Source organism: Homo sapiens, chromosome 2 (assembly GCF_000001405.40).
Source record: "Homo sapiens chromosome 2, GRCh38.p14 Primary Assembly".
NCBI lineage: Eukaryota > Metazoa > Chordata > Mammalia > Primates > Hominidae > Homo > Homo sapiens.
Window position 1 is genome coordinate 196,385,186 of NC_000002.12, and position 20,581 is coordinate 196,405,766.

General features: G+C 38.4%; 1 protein-coding gene across 10 annotated transcripts in view, besides 2 other annotated features; it reads right to left on the reverse strand.

Annotated features, from left to right (window-relative positions):
• Nucleotides 1-20,581, reverse strand: part of HECW2 (HECT, C2 and WW domain containing E3 ubiquitin protein ligase 2) — a 399,483-nt gene that overhangs the window by 191,114 nt on the left and 187,788 nt on the right. The gene's annotated exons all lie outside the window — the stretch shown is intronic.
• Nucleotides 15,020-15,314: an enhancer, noted in NCBI's record as "tiled region #6737; K562 Activating DNase unmatched - State 6:EnhF". NCBI's record gives its function as "activates a minimal TATA promoter and a strong SV40 promoter by Sharpr-MPRA in K562 cells {active_cell/tissue: K562}" and the evidence as "EXISTENCE:reporter gene assay evidence [ECO:0000049][PMID:27701403]".
• Nucleotides 19,799-19,989: a silencer, noted in NCBI's record as "fragment chr2:197269708-197269898 (GRCh37/hg19 assembly coordinates)". NCBI's record gives its function as "represses an EF-1alpha promoter that drives an FKBP-Casp9 reporter gene in an ReSE screen in K562 erythroleukemia cells {active_cell/tissue: K562}" and the evidence as "EXISTENCE:reporter gene assay evidence [ECO:0000049][PMID:32094911]".

Genomic DNA, 20,581 nt, shown 5'->3' on the forward strand with positions numbered 1-20,581 from the left:
ACAAGCATGAGCCATTGTGCCTGGTCTGATGGTTTCTTTTCTGTATCTCATATGCAATAAATCATAATCTTATTTAATTAAGACAGTAAAAGCCTTCCCCATCTTACAAGCCCCGGCTCATTTATTTAATCAGAATATAAAAGCTCTAGTTACTTAATGAAAAGTATTCAACAAACCACTGAACATGGAGATATTAAAGCAAATTTTTAAAATATGATCTCACTAGAAGGTAATTAATTTTCCATCATGCAGAACTTCTTCCTAAAATCATGTATCATTGGCCATCCCTCTCCATTAAGCCCTATGCCCTGATACCAAAGCCTCTTATTAAACCTGATACCAAAAGCCTCTTATTAAAAAGAGCACTCTACTCACCTAAGGTAGGACGCTAGAAGACCTGGGTGGCAGGTCTTAGAGAATCACTTTTGTGATCTGAAGCTAGTCCTTTAACTTCTCTGGAACTGGAGCACATGGGGACTGAAAATACTTGTTCAGACCAGTCATGGTGGTTGAAAATCCAAGGAAATTTTGGTATAAGCTGCTCTTCAAACTGTAAAGTGCAATATAAATGCAAATATAACTTGTCTAGATTAAAATAACTACTGTAGTACATGGGTTTTGTTTTTTTTCCTAATTACTTAGGAATTTGGTCCAAATGAAACTAACTTGGTTGGAAGCCTATTTATTAAAACCTATTAGGTATGTTTCATTGAATGTAAAATGCCTCATTTAATGTGAAAAATGTCACAACAGTGTAGAGCTGTGTATCTAGAACTTCTTCCTATTAACATACACCAATGTGCCACCTCTACCCTCAACCCTGAAACTGTTTAGAAAGGAGAAACTTAGGCTATAACTTCATGAAGAATCGGACTAACGAGATGGTAGAAAGACTAATTAACTCAATAACTGTTTACTGAGTGCCTACTTTGTGCCAGGATCTTAGGATACATGAGTGAATTCAACAAAAAGAAAACCACCTGCCCTCATGGAGCTTACATTCTAGCGGGAGATGGAAAGGGGAGATGGACAGTAAACAAGGAACATATTAAGGTAAATCATATAGTGTATAGGATGGTTATAAGTGTTGGGGGAAAGAGAACAGAGAGGGAAAGCTGGGGCTTGAGAGTAGGGAAGCATAGTAGGCCTCATTCAGAAGGGGATGTTTGAGCAAAGAATTGAGTGAGGTCTTGGATTTGGCCTTACATTCCAGGCAAAAAGAACAATCAGTGCAAAGGCCCCCATGAGGGAGCTTGCTAACATGCTTGAGAAGCAGCAAAGAGATAAAAGGAGTGCAGATATTAACAGCAATGTAAAGAAGCAGACCACCTGTTTGAATTAGCTTTTCACTGCTGCCACTGTTTTTGACTTGTCTCTGTTGACAAGCTGGGCACTGCAAATTAGGAAAAGGTGAGAAAAATATCCTTGGCCTTCTTTGCTCTGGGTCTCTTTTTAAGCAAAATGAAGGCCTCAGGGACAAGACCATCTCCTTCCTAGGCAATGATTTTTGAATGTGACTAATTTCTGGCACAATCCCCAGTGTAGATACTGTTATCATAGTATCATTAAATGTACAAAAACATACAGTTAACTGCCAATAGTGCTAAACAAATTCATAAAACAAAAAATGATGCATTAAATACAAACAAAACTAGAAAAAGAATCAAGTTCTGATTAACAACACTCACTCACTGTGAATGATTGTAGTCGTTTGCTAGAACTAAATCACAAGGCTTGTTATAAGCCTTGTTATAGCTTATAACAAGGCTATAATACTAACTCCTAACAGCAAAGATTGTTTTGAGTCCATCATGAGAATAATGCATGGTGCTAGGTGATGACTCAATTTTTCTCATTTTTCTCTATTAGAAAAGTATTTTGTTTTGGCCCTTTCTTGGCACAAACACATAATTTACATATTAAACTTACTTCTTACCTTCTTTCATAAGCTCAGACAGTTAAAGCAGTATTACTTGGTGACAGCAATATTATAAGCAGGAAGACTATAAACTGATGATCTCCATTAGTTAGAATATGCTTAAGTACTTTGGGGTGCTATGGTCTGGATGTGTCTCTCAAAAAAACCATATGTTGACTTCAAATCCCCAATGCAATATTATTAAGAGGTAGGCCTTTAAGCAGTGATTAGGTCATGAGGATAAAGCCCTCATGAATGTAATTAGCATCCTTATAAAAGAGAGAGCTTGTTCATCCCATTTTGCCTTTCTGCTCTTCCACCATATGAGGACACAAAGGTAGCACCATCTGTGAGGAATAGGTCCTCACTGGACACCGAATCTGCTGGCACCTTGATCTTGCACTTCCCAGCCTCCAGAACGGAGAAAGAAATTTCTGTTGCTTATAAATTACCTAGCCTAAAGTCTTCTGTTATGGGAGCCTGAATGGACTAAGACAGGTGGATTATTTTGAACAAAAACACAAAACTTAAAATGTCTTATTAAAAACATACTCTTGAAAATATGCATAGATATATCTACATATCTATATATAGAGAGAGATATATATATCTCCAGGGATCAGAATCTTGTGGCTCTATTTCAGCATGAAGTCAACAGTAGAAAAGAGACCACTGGGGTCTGTGTGGTGAGTGATGTAGGTAAGAAAATAACATGCCAAATTACAGCATTTGTCTTCCATGCTGTGACTTTGGGAATATCATTTAGCAACCTCCGTATTTCATTGAAGAGTAGCAGCAGTAAATAAGTTTTATCAAATTCAAAGGCCCTAATTCACCTCAACTAAATTAAACAAGGCTTGTAAGCACTGAGTTATTAGTAAACACTCCTTAAAATACAATTTTGTGGCCAGAAACAGTGTCTCACACCTATAATCCCAGCACTTTGGGAGACCAATGTGGGAGGATTGCTTGAGCCCAGGAGTTCAAGACCAGACTGGGCAACGTAATAAGACCTCATCTCTACTAAAAAAAAAAAAATTTTTAATTATCCAGGCATGGTGGCATGCACCTGTAGTCTCAGCTGCCTGGGAGGCTGAAGCAAGAGGATCATGTAAGCCCAGGTCAAGGTTGCAATAGCTATGATTGGACTACTGTACTCCAGTATGGATGATACAGTGAGACACTGTCTCAAAAAAAATTACAATTTTCTTATTATAATTGTACAAAACGTCATTTCTAGAGATTTTTGTTTTTTCATGGCTTTCTTTAGGTCTATCGATTTAATAATTACATAGTGCTTACTGTCAGGCATGGTTTATAGTGCTTTACAAATGTAAATTTATTTAATCCTAACAACAACCTTATAAATTAGATGCTATTATCATTCCCATGTTACCTGTGGGGGAAACTGAGACACAGAAGGTACGTAATATATCCATGGGTACACAACTAGTCAGTCAGTAGTAGGGCCCGAATTCAATCCAGATATCTGGCTTCAGAGTATAGGTATGTAACTGCTATGCTATGCTACTCTATATTTACTTGTGGGACTTCAACATATATCTTTTTCCTTTTTCCTTAATGTATGGCTAGCATCTAATCATATGCATAATTTTCAATCTATAAGAATGGAAACCTAGAAAAACAAGATAAGAGGCAAATTTGTCTAGGTATCAAAAGCAAAATATTGTGGTAGTTTTTCAAAAGTGAAAATGTTAAGATTATTAGAGGTATATACTTCTCAGACACCAGAGTCACTGGTCCACAAAGCTGCTTTGCTGTTACATAAATTAACTTTTGCTGACGGGGAAGACTGGCATTTGGAAGCATGGTTACTGCCACTCTGAGGGGCACCCCAGTGAAAAACTGAACAGAAATATAAGTCTCTACAGGATAGCCTTTATAGGCAACAGAAAAGCTATATAGTTCCTAGAATCTGAAGCATAAATATATTGGCAAATACCAATTGTGACTGAAGTGCGATCTGTTGTGGAGTCACTTTATGGACCATTCAGGACAAACTTTTCACCCATATCTGGTTTTACAAATTTTTCACCCATATCTGATTTCTCTCTTTATAAGTCACAGCCACTTCACACCATTAATTAAAGAATATTTAGCACATGAAATTAACTGTCATGTTGCAAAACTGTCTGTGGCAGGCAAATGGGCAAATGGATGTGTTACCAAGAAGACCTACAGAGAGTTATTTCCTTAGTGCAGCATTTTCTAAAATGCATTTTGAGAAACCCTAGTGTTTTGAGGTGTTACTAGGAAAAATGGGCTCCTGGTCAAATACGACTAGGATGTGGTGGATACCATACTCCCCCTTTAGAAGTTCAAAACATGCATTAGTAAATAATACGAAAGCTCTGGAAGCCCTCTGCCTTCTACGGCGTCCTAAACTGATTTAACCCAGGAACACTTTATAACAGAACACCTACAAACAGCCTGGGGAATGTAACTTGATGAATCCCCCACTATTCCAGATCTGCCTCCTGCCTCTGCAAGAGTCTTGACCTTGTCAGGGTCTCAGAGGTGGTCAGTACCAGAAAGGCAGACTAAATTGACTAAGAAAGGTAACTTTGAAAGGGGCCTTATTCTTGGCATCTTCTGGCTTTCTAGGAAAACTACAGAGAAAGCCAATTTATCATCACAAGTTTTCTTGGTAGTAAGAAATCAGAAGTGGGGGAGTGAGTTCAGATGTTTAAAGGTTTCTAGCTAACAGTCTGATTCATGCACATGTGGCCCTGGGGACCACAGACCTCATCCTTGGATGAGTGTATCCTCTCCCTGAACAGCCACTGGATGGACACTACAAAGGACTACACCACTCATGCTAAGCTTCCACAGCCAGCCAAAACCCTTTCTGATGGTTCAGGACCTCTTTAGATACTTTGAAAGCTTAGGCTTGAAATAAAAATAGTTAACATTTATTTAGTACCTTCTCAATGTTAGATATGGCATGAAATACTGATATTATGCTCAGATACTATATTATATTATATTTATTATCTCATAATTTTCCTGACAACTCCATGAGGTAGACCCTATTATGATATCCATTTTATTCATGAATACCTGAGGCTCAAAGAAGTTATGTAGCTTGCCCAAAATTACAGAAAAAGAAAGGCCAACCAAAAATTTGCATCCAGGCCATTGGTCTTTGGAATCCACATTCTCTACCAGCTGCTTTACTGGTTTAAAGATCGGAGAACCTTCCAAGTTGTTGGAATGATCAATATGTCAACTTGATAGTTTAATTATCAGAAGGAACTGCTTTTACATTCTTGCCAGCACTCCTTGTACTCCCCCAAATGATCACTTATCGTGACTTTGCAGCAGACACTTGGTCACCTCTGAAACTAAACAGCAAAAGTCGCTGCATGGAAAACTAAACACACTAGGTGACCCTAGGTAGCTTACTAGCCTTTTCTGTGCCTGTCTTTGCTCACCTGAAAAACACAAATCACACTTGCACTAATTCATAATGTGGTAGAGAAAGTACTGTGACTGCATGTTTAGCCTCCTAAGGGAAAAAATGCCATCTATAACCTTGTTGTTTTTTATTAACACAACAGTTTCATACTTGATGCCTGTTGGGTCCAAGGCATTCATGGATCTAGACACAAATACATTCTTTGCAAAACATGTCACCATAAGAAATAAGATGCTTGGAGATAAGTAGATTAAGACATCACAACAGGCAGGAATGTTGTTTTTACTTGAATGGGCTACGTACTTAGACACAAGAGGACTTTCTGTTTTGAGCTTTGCATATTGTCTAGGAAATTCTACATTGTGCGAGCTCAATTTCCTTATTAATCTGCTGTCTTATACTCATTGGCATTGGCTGGTTATCTTCCATGTGCCTCCCTCCCTCCCCCATACACTCTGCTCTCTGCCCTGGGAAACCGACCTATAGGTACTGCATCACTGAGCTCCACTGACCTCAAATTTGCAAGTGGATTTAGTCAACAGGGAGCACCAGCAAGAGACAGGAGGCAGGGAGGAGAGTAAGACTGGAATATTTAAACTCCCAGTTCTAAATATATAGTCTCTCTGCAGGTTATTTATCTTCTACCAGGTGACCCCTCAACCTAGCTCTCTCCGTAACCCAGGTTCTAGTAACTGTTCCCTCTTCTTACATCTTCAGGCCTAGGAGTAGTAACAGTACCCTGCCCCACTGTTACTGGCTGTGTTGTAATGTATCACCCCTATGATCTCTCTATGCTTTTATAAACAGTCCCTGTATTAAAGGTCACACAAATGATCTAAGTTGAGATGGCCATCTGCATCTGGCAGGGACCCTGACTGACATAACAATCAATCAAGAACTTCCTTGCACTGTTTTTTGTACTGAATTGATACTGCTCTCATTATACTGTTTAACTCTCATGAATGTATGTTTTAGATGATAGGATCTCACATTTGGAACCCAAAGGCTTATCACATGTAACCCCATAGTTTTTCTACTTTTCAAAGTTTAGTTCTATATTTTTTCTCTCATGCTGTGCTTAACTCTTTGGAATTAGATTAAGGAGGTATGGGTTTTAGTCCCAGATACTGTATTAGTTTCTTAGAGTTTCTGTGACAAAGTACCACAAACTGAGTGACTTAAAACAACAGAAAGTTACTCTCTCATACTTCCAGAATCTAGAAGTCTAAAATCAAGGTGTTAGCAAGCCATCCTCCCTCCAAAGGCTCTAGGGAAGAATCCTGTCTTGCCCTTTCCTAGCTTCTGATGGTTGTTGGCAATCTTTCATACTCCTTGGTTTGTAGCTGAATCTGTCCAGTCTCTGCCTCTGTCTTCACATGGTCTTCTCTGTGTCTTTCTCTTATCCTGTCCTCTTCTTTTAAGGACAACATTCATTGGATTCATTGGCCCACTGTAATCCAGTATGACCTTATCTTCACTAATTATACCTGCAAAGACCCTACTTCCAAGCAAGGTCATATTCGGAGATTCAGGAAGACATGACTTATGGGGACACTATTCAAAGCACTACACATATGCTATGTAAATCTATGCAAACTTTTTTCCTTTTTAGATTCAATCCCTTTATCTGTAAAATAAATTATATTAAGATTGGTAATGAATAGAATAAAATTGAGTAATATTTTGCTTCATCTCTTGCCCATGCCCAACATCGCTAATTGATTATACAACTCCTTCCAGAATGAAGCCTCAGTCTTCCTAACATAGCACTCTATGCAGCTTCCACTATTCAACTCGGATAGGAATGTAAGATAAAACCTACTTTCGGTGCCAGGGCTGTGTAACCTATCAGGCTCCTTCTAGTTCTTTGCTTTTAAGTTTTATATTCCTTAATTAAAATGCTACATAGAGAAGTTTAAGGAAGTGTGGTACATTAAAAAATTTTTGTTAATTAATTTAAAGATTTGTTTGTGTTTTGTCAGCAATGCAACACAAGGTGTTCCATATTCTAACATCAAAATAATTATAAATGTTATAAGTAGGAGTAGGTAACAGAAAAGCATGAATCATTCTCCTTAACAAAATATAAAATACAAAAATGCCAAATGCCACCACCATGTTTCAGAAATATTTCTGGAAAACATTAAAGAAATGCAAAAGCAATACAAATCAACACTGAAACAACAGTAATAAATGGAGAAAAGGAAGACAAGAAACCACCACTATTTACATACAAAAGATTTTCGTATTGGAAAAAACTACTTTAAAGTTCATATGGAACCAAAAAAGAGCCCACATTGCCAAGACAATCCTAAGCCAAAAGAACAAAGCTGGAGGCATCACGCTACCTGACTTCAAACTACACTACAAGGCTACAGTAACCCAAACAGCATGGTACTGGTACCAAAACAGAGATACAGACCAATGGAACAGAACAGAGCCCTCAGAAATAATACCACACATCTACAACCATCTGATCTTTGACAAACCTGACAAAAACAAGAAATGGGGAAAGGATTCCCTATTTAATAAATGGTGCTAGGCTAGCCATATGTAGAAAGCTGAAACTGGATCCCTTCCTTACACCTTATACAAAAATTAATTCAAGATGGATTAAAGACTTAAACATTAGACCTAAAGCCATAAAATCCCTAGAAGAAAACCTAAGCAATACCATTCAGGACATAGGCATAGACAAGGACTTCATGACTGACTAAAACATCAAAAGCAATGGCAAAAAAAGCCAAAATTGACAAATGGGATCTAATTAAACTAAAGAGCTTCTGCACAGCAAAAGAAACTACCATCAGAGTGAACAGGCAACCTACAGAATGGGAGAAAATTTTTACAATCCACCCATATGACAAAGGGCTAATATTGAGAATCTACAAAGAACTTAAACAAATTTACAAGAAAAAAAATCAAACAACCCCATCAACAAGTGGGCAAAGGATATGAATAGACAATTCTCAAAAGAAGACATTTATGAAGCCAACAGACACACGAAAAAATGCTCATCATCACTGGCCATCAGAGAAATGCAAATCAAAACCACAATGAGATACCATCTCAGACCAGTTAGAATGGAGATCATTAAAAAGTCAGGAAACAACAGGTGCTGGAGAGGATGTGGAGAAATAGGTACACTTTTACACTGTTGGTGGGATTGTAAACTAGCTTAACCATTGTGGAAGACAGTGTGGCGATTCCTCAAGTATCTAGAACTAAAATACCATTTGACCCAGCTATCCCATTACTGGGTATATACCCAAAGGATGATAAATCATGCTGCTATAAAGACACATGGACACATATGTTTATTGCGGCACTATTCACAATAGCAAAGACTTGGAACCAACCCAAATGTCCATCAATGATAGACTGGATTAAGAAAATGTGGCACCTATACACCATGGAATACTATGCAGCCATAAAAAAGGATGAGTTCATGTCCTTTGTAGGGACATGGATGAAGCTGGAAACCATCATTCTGAGCAAACTATCACAAGGACAAAAACACCACATGTTCTCACTCATAGGTGGGAACTGAACAATGAGAACACTTGGACACAGGGTGGGGAACATCCCACACTGGGGCCTGTCCGGGGGTGAGGGGGGAGAGGGGGGAGGGATAGCATTAGGAGATATACCTAATGTAAATGACGAGTTAATGGGTGCAGCACACCAACATGGCACATGTATGCATACGTAACAAATGTGCACGTTGTGCACATGTACCCTAGAACTTAAAGTATAATTAAAAATAAAAAAGAAAAGAAAATGATCCCAGAAAAATAGTACAGGTGGTAAATGTAAAGATAGACCAGAATTTATTTTCTATTTTTCTTATAACCTAAGGTATAAGATAGACCAATTAGATAGAGAGAAACTAAAATCTCATGTTTTAAAATAAAATATTCCTTCCATCTTTTTGCCTGAAATTGGAGCTGGTGTAATTTTAGTGAGTCAATAAACATCCCCCCTTTAGAGAGTTCAGACCACCTAAAGGCAGACACGAGAGCCAGAAAGATGAACGATCTCTCCAATCCTGTCTCAGAAAGGTCAATTAATGTATCCCAGATCAGTTAATTAGTAGTGAAGTAAGATTTGTATGATTCTAAAGTTCAATATATCACAATACCTCTCTGAGAAAGAAAAATGGCTTTGAAAATATTACTTCTAAAAATGTCTGCCATTCATTGGGAAAAGGACAATCTTTTGAACAAATAGTGCTGGGAAAACTCATTTTCCAGATGTGAAAGAATGAAGTTGGACCATGTCTTAGTCCCTTTGTGTTGCTATCAGAAAATATCATAAACTGGGTAGCTTATAAACAATAAACCTTTATTTCTCATTTCCCTCTGAAGGCTGGGAAGTCTAAGATCAAGACATCAGCAGATTCAGTGTCTGGTGAGGGCCTGCTTCCTCATAAATAATGCCTTTTATGTGTGCCCACTTGGTAGAAGGGGCCAGATAGCTCTTTGGGGTCTTTTTCATAAGGGCACTAATCCCATTCATGAGAGGTCTGCCCTCATGACCTCATCACCTCTCAAAGGCCCCAACTCCTACTATCATCACCTTGGGGGTATCAATACATGAATTTTGGGAAGAAACAAAGATTCAGACCATAGCGGACTTCTACATTATAGAGTACACAAAAATTAATTCAAAAATGGGTCAAGGACTTAAACATAGAGCTAAAACTTAAAACTCTTAGAGGAAAACATACGGTAAAAGCTTTATGACATTGGATTTGGCAATGATTTCTTGAATATGACACCAAAAACACAGTTAACAGGAGAAAAAAATAGATAAATTGGACTTCATCAAAATTTAAAACTCTTGTACATCAAAAAACACTATCGACAGAATGGAAAAGCAATATACAGAATAGGAGAAAATATTTGCAAATCATGTATGTGATAAGAGATTGATATCCAGAATATATAAAGAACTCCTACAACTCAACAACGACAACAAAAACCAAACAACTTGGTTTAGAAATGCGCAAAGAACTTAATAGACATTTCTCCAAAGACATACAAATGACCACTAAGCACATTAAAAAGATGTTTAACATCACTAATGATGCATATCATCATTAGGAAAATGCAAGCCAAAATCACAATGATACCACTGTGCACCCATTAGGATGACTATGTTTTTTTTTTTTAAAAAAAGAAAATCATAAATGTTAGTGAGGATGTGGAGAAACTGGAATCCTTGTGCATTGCTGGTAGAATGTGAAATGGTGCAGCTGCTATGAAAAATTATACGGTAATTCTTCAAATAATTAAACATAGAATTACCATACGATCCAGCTATTCTACTTCTGGGTATACACGTAAAGGGATTAAAATGGGACTCAAACAGGTATCTGTATGCCCACGTTCATAGGAGCACTATTCACAATAGCCAAAAGGCGGAAGCAAACTGAGTGTCCATTGAATAAACAACATGTAGTATATACACACAATGGAACATGATCCAATCTTAAAAATGATGGAAATTCTGACATATGCTACAACATGGATGAACTCTGAAGATATTACGCTAAGTGATATAAGCCAGTCATAAAGGACAAATATTGTATGATTCCACATACATGAGGTACCTAGAGTAATCAAATTCATAGAGACAGAAAGTAGAATGATGGTTGCCAGGGGCTGGGGAGAGGAGAGAATGAATGAGAAAAAGTTTGCATATCTAAATGGAATAAAAAGTATACAAACAAGCAATAGCACAAAAGTAATTGAGAACTTTACTATTCAAACTATAGAAATAGTTTTTAGATAAACACATATAATCAATTCCCAGGATCTCTTTACAAAATGATGAATGCAAATATATGCAGAACCAAAAAGATAGTAAATTATCACATAGAGAAAAGTTCACAAGTGCCATTTTTACAGATTCCCTGAACACCTGGTAAAGAAAAATAAACAGATAAAAACAGGCATTATTACACATTTCTGGTTGCAACATATAAGACCATTTCAATCTTCTAAAGAATAATGTATAAATGTTCAACGCAAGCTATCAATGTATCTCTATTGTTTCCCCTTTTGGAGAAATATGCCCCAGACTAATGTTTTTGGGTACCTAGAGCCTTGCCTAGAGGCATTTCCTTAGAGGCTCTGAAATGTTAACAGAGATCAAGAAGGAAACAAGAATTAGTAAAGTGGCCTGGGTGGGATGTGGCAATGTCCCCTCCAGTTCCAGCAAACTATTGTCTTGCAAAAATATTACAGACCTAGGTTTGCATATATTCCAATTAAAAAAAAAATGGCCGGGTGTGGTGTCTCACACCTGTAATCCCAGCACTCTGGGAGGCCGAGGCGGACGGATCACGAGGTCAGGAGATTGAGACCATCCTGGCTAACATGGTGAAGCCCCATCTCTACTAAAAATACAAAAAAAAATAGCCAGGCGTGGTGGCGGGCACCTGTAGTCCCACCTACTCGGGAAGCTGAGGCAGGAGAAGGAGTGAACCCGGGAGGCGGAGCTTGCAGTGAGCCGAGATGGCGCCACTGCACTCCAGCCTGGGGGACAGAGCGAGACTCCGTCTCAACAAAACAAAACAAAACAAAACAAAAAAAAAAAAAACAAAAATAAAAAACCGTCTTTGGGAATTCTTCTACATATGGAAGAATCAGAGCTGTTTAGACAGATTGGTGTGACAGAGGAAAGACACTGCTGTGTGTCCCTGCTTTCTGTCCCAACTAAGGTAACATAAGGTAGCACCTAATATGATGCAGGTACCAGAGAAATGTCTCTTCTTCTGAAAAGCTTTACATTCATATCTGGAAGGGCTTACTGACATTCACTTCCTAGGGCCCATGTGAACCTACCACATTTTATATCATCTCAATGATCTACACACAAACCTCTTCTGGCCATCCTCTAGGGATGTAGCTTTGTGAAATCTTAAATTCTTTTTGGGGTGAAGGCAGCGGAGGGCAAGGATAAAAGTGAGTTTGGTTTGTTTTTTCTTTTTATTATTTTTAAAAAATGTATTCTATTTATGCTTAACAGCTTCGCTGGCTCTCTATACAACCTCCAGATAATAGTGACAGAATCCCCTTTAGTCCCCCACCAAATACCAGACAGCATCATTAGTTGAAAATGGCCAAGGCATGTTTTCCCGTTTAAATTAAGAAAGTAAATTGCAACAATCTGTTTTCCCTTGGAAGTTGTTAAATTCTTTAGGTTGGGATTTCCACCAACTGTTTAGATATCATTTCCTTCCATATATGCCAAGACATTGTTTCCCAAATGCTTCCAATGTAGTCTTTTAAGACTCAAAGCAGTCCCAATACCATTGCTTCATATACCCCATCCTCCTCACCTGCTCCCAAAGATATTCATGGAAGGGCTCAATAAAGCTGCACTGAGCCAAAGTATTTCCACAAAGTTCTAACAGCCCTGCAGAAAGCATACCCTTCCGAGATACCTCACCAGGAAGTGGAGTCTTTTATAATAAGAGGTAGGTGGTTTCAGGCAAGCAAAGGAGAAGGAAGGACACAATAGAAGGGGAAAAAAGTGAGTGTAGGGGAAAGGTGGCTGGATGGGTTTGTGGGTGGGTGGGGGAGTTAGGGGAAAATGGCCTGGGAAGTCAAAATGCATGCATGTGAGTAGGGAGGATACATTGGCCTGAAAATAATCTTAGCTAAATGGGAAAGACTCATAATTTGATCAGAAAGGTTAATGGTTAAGGGTTTTGAAGACAGAACAATATGGCCAAGTCAGTGGGAAAAAATACTGTTTGATTATGCATGCAGAGAAACACAGACATATAGTAAAATGTGACAGTTTTAAATAAACACATTTAACAAAAATGTTATACCATTACTACAGGTCTTTTCAAAAACAAGAGATATTGCCATAGGTTCAAATAAATTAGTGTTTCAGGAGCTGGTGGAAAACATAAGCAGTAAGATTTAGTAATAGCTATGAGAATGGAAAAGAAGAAATATCCCAAGATGCCTTGTTTTCCAACCAATCAAATCCCACCCATTCTCCAAACTCATCAAGTTATCTATGCACCTCGAAGAAACCACCTCTGGCTTTCGGTCCAAGGTGGCATCTTTCTCTATTAAACATGTTATTTATGATCCACACCACCATTTCTCACCTAATCATATGCCACTGCATGTAGCTATGAATCTTCTGATACCTTGTATCCCCATATCTGGTTTCCCCAGTGAGAGCAAAAGACTCACGTTATTCTGCAGATACAGAAGCTCAATAACTCTGAGGAGAAATAAAATTTTTAAAAATACTGAGCTAAGCATGGTGGTGCACGCCTGTAGTCCCAGCTACTTGCATTTGGGAGGGTGATGTGGGAGGATGGCTTGAGCCCAGGAGTTAGAGGCTGCAGTGAGCTGTGATTTCACCACTGCACTCCAGCCTGGGCAAGAGAGGGAGACCCTGTCTCTTTAAAAACAAAAAATAGAGACAAAAGTATGGCTTCTAAACCAACATATATTTACAATCCAATGTTATTATATGATTTTATTTCAATTCATGATGACATATTGGCCCCCAAAATCTATTCTTAATCTCCAGAGCTTCTCTTGGGTATGGTTCTCAGGTTGAGCATGTACACTCCGGAAGCACTACTAATGGGCTTCCCCAGACTCAGCCCCATTAGAAGTGTGGAGCATACTTTTGGAGGCTAATTTTTTCCCCAAGGATTTGAAGAAGGGGAAACATCAAGTTACATTAAGTTATTCAATTGGTAATTCTAACATCATTTCTGCATGAAAACATATGTATATTACAAAGAGGTTAAAGTAAAACAAGACTTCAAGTCATTTCCCCCTGGCAGCAGACTACTCTGGGCTAAACTGCCAGAGGCCAGAGGGCTTATGATCTTCTGCAGCAGGAATACCCTTGTGGAACACTCTGGGAAGCACTATTTTAAGGATTCCCCAAAACTGAGAAGGAAGTGCTAATGAAGAGAACAACGATTGCTGATCCAGCTCTTCCCCCAAGTTAAGTGTGGTGTTATGCATGTTACAAACATTTGCTCACTTCTTTCTCTAGTCCTACAGGAGTTATGATACCCATCTGACATAACCTGCCCAAGCTGAAGCCACTGTAGTAGGTAACAAAAACAAAAGTGGGATTCAAAACACAGGCCTATTTGAACACCAATGCTATTGTTCTTTCTAACCACACAGTCTCCTAAGTAGGACTGACAGATAGAACCGTAGGCCTAACTAGTTTTCAAAAGAATACTTCAAATTATAAGCAAGTATTAACGTATCTTTGAACAAACAGTTAAATAGCCTTTCACAGCTGTGTCTACTGACATTTCCTAGGTGAGGGAATAGTGCACCAGATACTGCCAAGCCCAGTATTAGTATAAGAAAGGGTCCTCAGGAATTAAGTAGACTCCTGGAGAAGGTCCTAAGGAGCACTCAACAATCTTATATTTAACTGAATTACTACAGTAATTAATAACTGGGTGCCTGCTAAAATAATAAAATATGCTGGAATCTGAAAGCATGGAGAAATTTGTCTTATAAAGAAATTAACTGGCTCCCTTTCTCAGGCCAGTTTCACAAGAGCTTCTTCATAGGTCTAAGAATCAAATCTCAAATTTTCAATAATTTTTCTAATCACACAGTGAATAAAAAAGCATGTGGTGCCTTTGCAGCCTTCACTATGGGATTCTTGAGGCCTTTCCAAAAGAGATAGCCTAATTATAACTGCCAACATTGCAAAGAAATTGCATCACTCCTGTTACATACATCAGTGAGGAAATGGGACAGACAGAGGAAGGATTTTCGTGTTGGCGGGGAAGGAGAGTAGAGTATATGACTAATGCCTGCATAACTCTGGAAAAGATATAGAATTTTTGCTCTTGAGTGAAAAGATAAGCTTAGGTATTGTATTAAAATCAAGCCCTTTGACTGAAACAGGATAGCCTAGAAATAGTTCAGAAGCACGGGATACTTGAAACTTAAAATGTGCTTTCAAAGAGGTTATTTTTATAAACCAAATATGCACAGGAAATTTTGTTGTTCTACTCCTATTCCATAGCCTAAAGATCTGTATTGTCCCAGCACAAAGACCTTCTTGGACTGAATCCCAGTCACAGCTGGTTTACTTGAAAATCATGAAAACCTTACTAAACATCATCTTGTTCCAGAAAGCATATTCTTATAAAGATGCTTTCACTCACCTACATTTCTCCATTTCCAAGACCAAATAGTGACTCTTTTGCCCTCTCCTCTCTCTGAGCCACTAACCCCCATTCCCACAAAATGCAAAAAAAAAAAAAGAGCTAAAATAATTTCCATGTCTTGTATTCAACTTGTGTCTACTTAAAATATAAATTTTAAATTTATACAAAACCAAAAAGAGTTATAAAACTTCATCTGTGATATATGCCCTAATCATTCAGCAGACTTGTAATTCCTATCATTTGAGAAACTTCTAATTTATTTCGTTTCATGATTAATAACAGACTTCCGGAAACTGAAACAACATTTCTGTAGGGATATTTATCAGTATGTCTCAAATTAAATGCGCACATTCTTTGCCTCAGCAGTTTCATGCCTAGAAATTGTTTTTTGAAATACTGACACAAATGCTCAAAAATGTAAGTGTAGGGATGTTTACTGCAGCACTATTTGTAATATCAAATATTAAGACCAACCCAAAGGACCATTAATAGGGTAATGGTTAAAGAAATTATAGTACAAGCATATTAAGGAGTACTATCAAGAAGTTATAAACAATGAATATTGAGATGGATTGATGTCTAAGGCATATTGCAAAGTAGAAGCAACTATTTACAGAAGAATGCATATAACATAATACATTTTTGTTTAAAAGTACACTTGTGCATATGTGTTTCTCTGTGTGTATTATTATATATAATCCACCATTAACACTTCTTTCCTTTGGTGAAGAAAGGGAAACAATTAGTATTATTTGAAATTTTATGAAAAATACAATACTCTTCTGGAATTTTTAAATAGAATTTTTCTTTAAAAACGCTACCTCAAAAAATATGGATCAGTTGTTCTTTTTGTCAAATATTTCAAAATATTAGGTTCAGGTGACATATACCTTTCACAGATGTTTTATATACACAGGAGTGAATACACAGTCAGGGTATATATTCATCCTGTATATCACACAGATGTGAATATTCAGGATGTTTTAAAATGAACATTTAAAGAGCTTTCATTTATAATCTTAGAGAAAAAATTTTTACTAATGAGAATATTTTCTTCACCAATATGATTTCCAATGGAAAACAAAATCCCTCAGATAAGTTAAGACATGGAATCAAGGACCTACTATGTTCTCAAATGGAGAGGGTACCAAAAATAACTAGGCGTCATAAGAAGGGAAACTTGCCAGGCGCGGTGGCTCACGCCTGTAATCCCAGCACTTTGGGAGGCTGAGGCGGGCGGATCACAAGGTCAGGAGATCGAGACCATCCTGGCTAACATGGTGAAACCGTGTCTCTACTAAAAATACAAAAAAATTAGCCGGACGTGGTGGCGGGCGCCTGTAGTCCCAGCTACTCGGGAGGCTGAGGCAGGAGAATGGCATGAATCTGGGAGGCGGAGCTTGCAGTGAGCCGAGATGGCACCACTGCACTCCTGCCTGGGCAACAGAGTGAGACTCTGTCTCAAAAAAAAAAAAAAAAAAAAAAAAAAGAGGGAAACTTGCCATAATAAGTTACTAAAGGAAAAAAGAAATGACAAGCTTTAGCTCAGAAATTTGATAATTGTGCAGCTATATACTGGCCCTTTAACAGACCTTGAGTTTCATTTCTGGGGGGATGGCTTGCAAGAGATTTACTTTTTATTCTTAGTCAAAGAAACTTTGAAATAGTTGTCTAACATGGGAATAAGAGTGAGAGACTCTGAGCCATTAATAGTGTGCATGGTGCACCTCCACATCATGGGTTACTTTGGCTACTTTTCCTTCACTGATTCAGTCCCCCTGACAGATATTATGTTCCATAATGTTTCTCTGTTATTTATTTAACAGCTTTTTGTCAGTGTGAGTGATACAGCATATTCAATGATATATTTTTCATGGTATCTAATACACATTGTCACAGTATACCTTTAACAATAGTCCTGAAACTCAAAAAACAAACTGTAAGAGAACGAACAAAATTTCTATAGCTAACAATTTAATTTGGGAGGTCAAATACATACTTGGAAATGTGAATATTGTAAATCAAATAAAGTAATCAATTAACAAACAGATTCCTTGCCTTGGGAATTTTTTTTTTTTTTTTTTTTTGAGACAGAGTCTCGCTCTGTCACCCAGGCTGGAGTGCAGTGGCACGATCTCAGCTCACTGCAACCTCCGCCTTCTGGGCTCAAGCAATTCTTGTGCCTCAGCCTCCCGAGTAGCTGGGATTACAGGCGCGCACTACCATGCTTGGCTAATTTTTGTATTTTTCGTAGAGACGGAGTTTCACTATGTTGGCCAGGCTCATATTGAACTCCTGACCTCAGGTGATCCGCCCACCTTGGCCTCCCAAGTGCTGGGATTATAGGCATGAGCCACCACACCTGTCCACCTTGGGATTCTTATTCTTCTGTCATTCTTTCCACTGATGACCAATTTTAACTGTGCTGGGTAGGACACAGACATAGGCATAGAAAGAGCAAATAAGTACTAAATAGCCACAGGCTACTAAAATGTCACTCAACTAAATGCTGTATTTTGATACTGCATTTGACAGCTGACGTAATGTACAAGAAAGTATTTAACAGATACATGTTCAGGAACATGATCACAGTAATAAAGCAACAGATGCTTAAGTGTTTCTGCTTTCCACATAGGGTATCCATAGAGACTATTAAAAAGACTTCCAGGGAAAGGTAGGATCTGTCATTAAAAATGCATCTCCTCATATGAGAGATACAGTAAACACAAACCTTCAAGATGCCCATAATTTTTAATGTACTTTTAAAAAGACATTTATACTATGCAGCTCATTTCTGCAAAATGTGACTTGATTACAAAGTACTCAGTGGCTTACATTATTTATTTAAGAAGACTGAGTCACTTTCCTAAAGTTTTACAGCTAACCTAGTCTGTGAAAAAATTCTAAAGCTTAAAAGCTCTCAAGGAAATGAACCAAAACATTCTGGAAAATTCATTCTCTGCAGGGAAGATAATCGTGGCTATAAGACCAGTCAGCCTAAGGAAGTACACAGGGAAGAAGAATGACCTCATGTAACAGATCCTCAGATCTTTTGAAGGAAATAATAATAACAAAAAAGAACATGTCTGTCTTCCTGCTTAAGATATGTAGCAGAAAGCCAGACACTTCTTCAAGTATTCCTTCAGGTTGTATTTCAGGCCTGTTACATATTTCAGCATCACACTGCCAACCTTCTCTATAGAACCCAGAATTTCTTGTGAAATTATGTCACTGTGAGTGTTTTAGGCCTCACATTCATCTGAGAAAAACACTCTAGTAATATATAATGGAACCATGCAATGGCTATGGTTGGCTAACCATGTTATACTACATTTTTACTAAATGCAATTGAGTGCCAGAAAAAAGTCTTCTGTTTGAATCCATACAATAAAGAGCTTAGCAACTTGTAGTATCCACATAGGATACTCTTGATTTTTGTAATAATTGAGGAGAAACATGGCACTTGAGTTGGAGACTGGGCGTAAGTCCCATTACATGAACTTTAATAGTTAAAAAGCATAATTCTCCCTATGATTTGCCCCATGAATATATACTTACTTGCCTAAGCATTAGTCATGCCTCTCTCTGTCATGTCTGCTAGGATTCTGTAATAAAGAGATTCTTCAAAGTCTCTTCCTAGACCTTCTAGGAGAAGAAAATGATGTTTTTATTTCCCAAAACCCAGTAAGCTTGTCCTGACCAGCCAGGAAGGTTCAGAGGGTCTTCTACTGCCTCCCCTAGTCAAAGATCTGTAACTTCAGAATTAGTGTCACTTTTTAATTGTGGTGAAAGCCTCAAAATACATTAAACCCCAAAGAGATTTTCACTACTGAGATTTTTATCATCTTGGAAAATGTTTCCTGTCTTTTGGCACATTTCTGCATTCAAACATTTCCTGATCTTCCAGGTCACCAGTTCCAGTGCTCCCACTACAGAAACCCTTCCATCTCAAGCTCTCCAATCCACTTTTTCTCCATTAATCACCCCCAGTTATCAATTTCCTCCTTATCCTGCCAGATTCCCTGATCCATTCTTATAATCATCCTGTTGGTAATATTTCTTTTTTTTTCTTTTTTCTTCTCTTTTTTTTTTTTTTTTTTTTTTTGAGACATAGTCTCGCTCTGTCACCCAGCCTGGAGTGCAGTGGTGCAATCTCGGCTCGCTGCAAGCTCTGCCTCCCAGGTTCACGCCATTCTCCTGCCTCAGCCTCCCAAGTAGCTGGGACTACAGGTGTCCGCCACCACTCCCGGCAAATTTTTTTTTTTTTGTATTTTTAGTAGAGATGGGGTTTCACCATGTTAGCCAGGATGGTCTCAATCTCCTGACCTCGTGATCCGCCCGCCTCGGCCTCCCAAAGTGCTGGGATTACAGGTGTGAGCCATCGCGCCCGGCCCCTCCTGTTGGTAATATTTCTAACTCCATCTTCCGTCTCCCCTTCCACTGTACTCCCCTGGAAAAACCCAACAGTGATTAAACTAGCTACTACTTAAACCACACCTGCAGTCCAGCTGGTAGAAGAATAAAACAAAACCAAACACAAGCATGCTCATGAGTCTTACTTTAGACTCAGGACCACAAATCTTGCAGGGGACTCAATACTGCCAGGCAACTTTGCCACAGTGCTCTACATACGTGTTTCCTCACTTCTCCAGGTGACGATATCACATGTCTACCTCTCTCCTCTAGCTCCCCACCACTTTCAAATGCATAAAGAACAGAAGCAAACAGATTCACCTTTTCAATGCCACATCTACCACTCATCTGCCATACTTCTCTGTGTTCCCTTTTGCTCTTCTGGATGAAATGTCTCTGCTCCTGTTGAAGTCCAACCCCCCATCTTATGCTCTAAATCCCATCTGCTCACACCTTCCCAAGGATTTATCTCCAATAATTATCCCTCCTTGTGCACATCAATGTCATGTGGACAATGTCTACTAGATCATATTCATTAATGTGCAAACATACCAGATATCTTTACTTTGTTCTGAATTCTCCAGTAGGCATTCCCCATTGCTTTGTCCCCCTTCAC